The 3,136-nt window shown below is 48.1% G+C and overlaps 1 annotated feature.

Moving 5' to 3' along the window:
- Positions 799-1,998: an enhancer, noted in NCBI's record as "P300/CBP strongly-dependent group 1 enhancer chr1:224075566-224076765 (GRCh37/hg19 assembly coordinates)". NCBI's record gives its function as "activates an origin of replication core promoter dependent on BRD2, BRD4, P300/CBP, MED14 and CDK7 cofactors, with strong dependence on P300/CBP, by STARR-seq in HCT116 cells {active_cell/tissue: HCT116}" and the evidence as "EXISTENCE:reporter gene assay evidence [ECO:0000049][PMID:35650434]".

Here is a 3,136-nt window from a genome sequence, read left to right as displayed (position 1 = left end):
TCCCTCTGTCAGAGGTGATTTCAGTCACATTTTCCAAGCTCAGGATAATTTACCCCCTACCAGGGTGCACTGCAGAAGGCCTGGCTGGAAGGCCCCGAGCACAGGAGTTGATTGCTAGCTGCTAAGAGGCTGCGCTTTGTTCCCGAAGGAGAAAGCTGCAGGTTAAGAGAACATTCCCCACCTTGCCAGGGGTGACCAAGCAGGGGACTGCTTGAGGGCTGACACTGGAGTTAGAGATAATGAAAGGAGAGGAGCAAGAAGAAGCCAGGGCCTGGCTCGGCATCTCACCGCATTGGTGGGGAGAGGAGCTGTTCACCTTCTTGCACCTGTTGCTGGGCTGAGACAGATTTTCAGAGAGCAATGCCTCCTGGACAGAGGCTCTTCCCCACAAGGCAAATGTAATTAGTTGAGAGAAAAACAAAGCTCTGAAACCCTAATTAGGTGCAAAGCCCTCAGGCTTTATACATGTAAACAGCTAAGGAACAGAGGATAAGATTCTCCAGTCGGCACTCCCTTGCCAGTCCTGGGTGAGCTAATGGTGAAGTGAGAGCTGTGCCACAGATCCCATGGTTGGCTTTTTGTTGTTGTTATTTCAGACGGAGTCTCACTCGCCACCCAGGCTGGAGTGCAGTGGTGCAATCTTGGCTCACCACAATCTCCGCCTCCTGGGTTCAAGTGATTCTCCTGCCTCAGCCTCCCGAGTAGCTGGGACTACCAGCGCCCGCCACCATGCCTGGCTAATATTTTGTGTTTTTAATAGAGACGGGGTTTCACCATGTTGACCAGGCTGGTCTTGAACTCCTGACCTCAGGTGACCTGCTCACCTCAGCCGCCCAAAGTGCTGGGATTACAGGTGTGAGCCACTGCACCTGGCCCCGTGGTTGGCTTTTACTCCTTCCATTCTGCCACCCTGAAGCTGATCCTCTGGAATTTGCTTGTTTTTGGTGTGTCCAGAAATGAAGGTCTATCAGTTCTTGAAATTGGGTTGTTTTAAGTAACTGATGTGCCGGGATGACAGTGAAGAAGAGATCTCAACTGTGGTTGAGATCCTGAGTGCTCAAGTTTGGGTCCTGATGCAGAGATGTGTAAAACTGGTAAAGCAGGAGGAAGAGTGAAAATGTGTGTGTGTATTTGTATGTGTTATGGACTACATTCATTGTGGGTGGAAGGAAAAAAAATCAGATATTTTCATGGGCAACCAAATACTGAAAAATTACTTCCAAGCAAGGTCTTTGCAAATGGTATCATTACGACACAGGTGTGACTTCTAAGCATTCTGATGTGGAAAGGGGTTCTTTGGAGGGGTGGGCTTGTTACTAATGGCAATCTAATGGGTCACACACAGGGCCCCAAATACCTCTGAAGGGCTTGGCTCAACCCTTGGATTTTTTTAGGTTCTGAGCCTGGATTTCATGAAGGAAACTTCATCCACCCTGCTGTGTGCTGAGCTGACTGTAGACATGTTCATCAGAATTCCAGCAGAATGATTTGCAACAGGGATTTCCCCTTACAGTGACAGATTGCCTGGGTCACCAATCTGTGCCCTTAGGAGGAACATTGCCATCATTTCTAGTGGACGGGCTCTCGGGTGACGCATCATTAATCAGAGGGCTCTTTGCTAAGCATGAAACCGGAAAGGAAAGCACCATGGCTGTAGGGTATACGTCACCTGCGTTCCCGTAAAGCCTGATGGAAAATCTCTTCTCAGCAGAGAATACTTCTCCAGTGACGGGGCTGTGTGTTCAGTGACCCCAGATGCAGAGTCTCGGACGGGGCTAGATGCTTTCGACAACTTTTGTCTCCTTGTATCTATTTTTTCTTCCTAGCTCAGTTCCTCTCAGACACATTCTTTTTTTAGATGGCTTTAGTGCCGTTGATTAATGCTACAGTCAAGGGCTATTTCTGTTGGCCTGGCAGATGATACAGAGTCAAATGTTGCAGAATTTGAGGGGTGGATTACTGTCTCAGCTAATACTGTTGATTAAATCAGGAGCTTGGGAAGGATTTCAGCTTCCCTGAATTTTTTTCCAAGTTGACTAGTCTGTTATTTATGTTGGGAAAGCAACATGATCCCCTTTTCTAGAAGCCCTGATTACTGTCTTTTCTGCAGCCACAGTGAAGAAGGGCAAGTCATTCTACAGAAACATTCTAGAGAATACACAAACTCCTGCAACACACCTTGTATTCCCCTCATTTAAATTCCTGAGCTCAAATGATTCTCCCGCCTGGGCCTCCCAAAGTGCTGGGATTACAGGTGTGAGCCATCATGCCCGGCGTTGTCTGATTTCCAGTTGCTTCATTCACAAAAGTAGTAGGTAGCTTTGCTACAAAGAGTGGGCCAGGTCATTACCCTTGACCATTGCTTCCATTATGAATCTTTAGCTCACATTTCTCTGGTCTCACTCAGGGACTCTTCACTAATGCCTAATCTCTGACGCTACTTCCAGCATTATATACACCACGTTGCAGGAGTGTGTGTGTGTGTGTGTGTGTGTGTGTGTGTGAATATGTTTCCCTAAGAACATCTTAGAAAATCACATGGTAGGCCGGGCACGGTGGCTCACACTTGTAATCCCAGTACTTTGGGAGGCCAAGGTGGGAGGATAATTTGAGCTCAGGAGTTTGAGACCAGCCTTGGCAACATGGTGAAACCGTCTCTACTAAAAATACAAAAATTACCTGGGCATGGTGGTGCGCACCTGTAGTCCCAGCTACTCAGAAGGCTGAGGCCGGAGAATTGCTTGAACCAGGGCAGGGGGAGGTTACAGAGAGCCGAAATGGTGCCACTGCCCTCCAGCCCAGATGAGAGAGCGAGGCTCCGCCTCAAAAAAAAAAAAAGACAATCACATGGTGGAGATCCCCTTTTAGTCCCACTGCAACCCCCTCACAGAGTGAGCCTGCAATGTGTGGACACTGAGGCAGAAGGTCTTTCAAGTGGAAATCCCAGAGGATGGAAGTAGGTACAACTGAGGGTGAATGAATGCCCTCAGGGTTGCTGGCAGGCTGATACATGGATGAGGACCAGCTAGGATGAGTCATCTCAGGAAACAGAGTAAACAGGTGGAGATGGGAGGTAATGTCACACTGTGTGCACTTGTTTTAGAGTTAACGTGTTTATTGATCTGCAATGATTTAA

Source organism: Homo sapiens, chromosome 1 (assembly GCF_000001405.40).
Source record: "Homo sapiens chromosome 1, GRCh38.p14 Primary Assembly".
Classification (NCBI taxonomy): Eukaryota; Metazoa; Chordata; class Mammalia; order Primates; family Hominidae; genus Homo; species Homo sapiens.
This window is presented reverse-complemented; position numbering and strand designations above follow the sequence as displayed.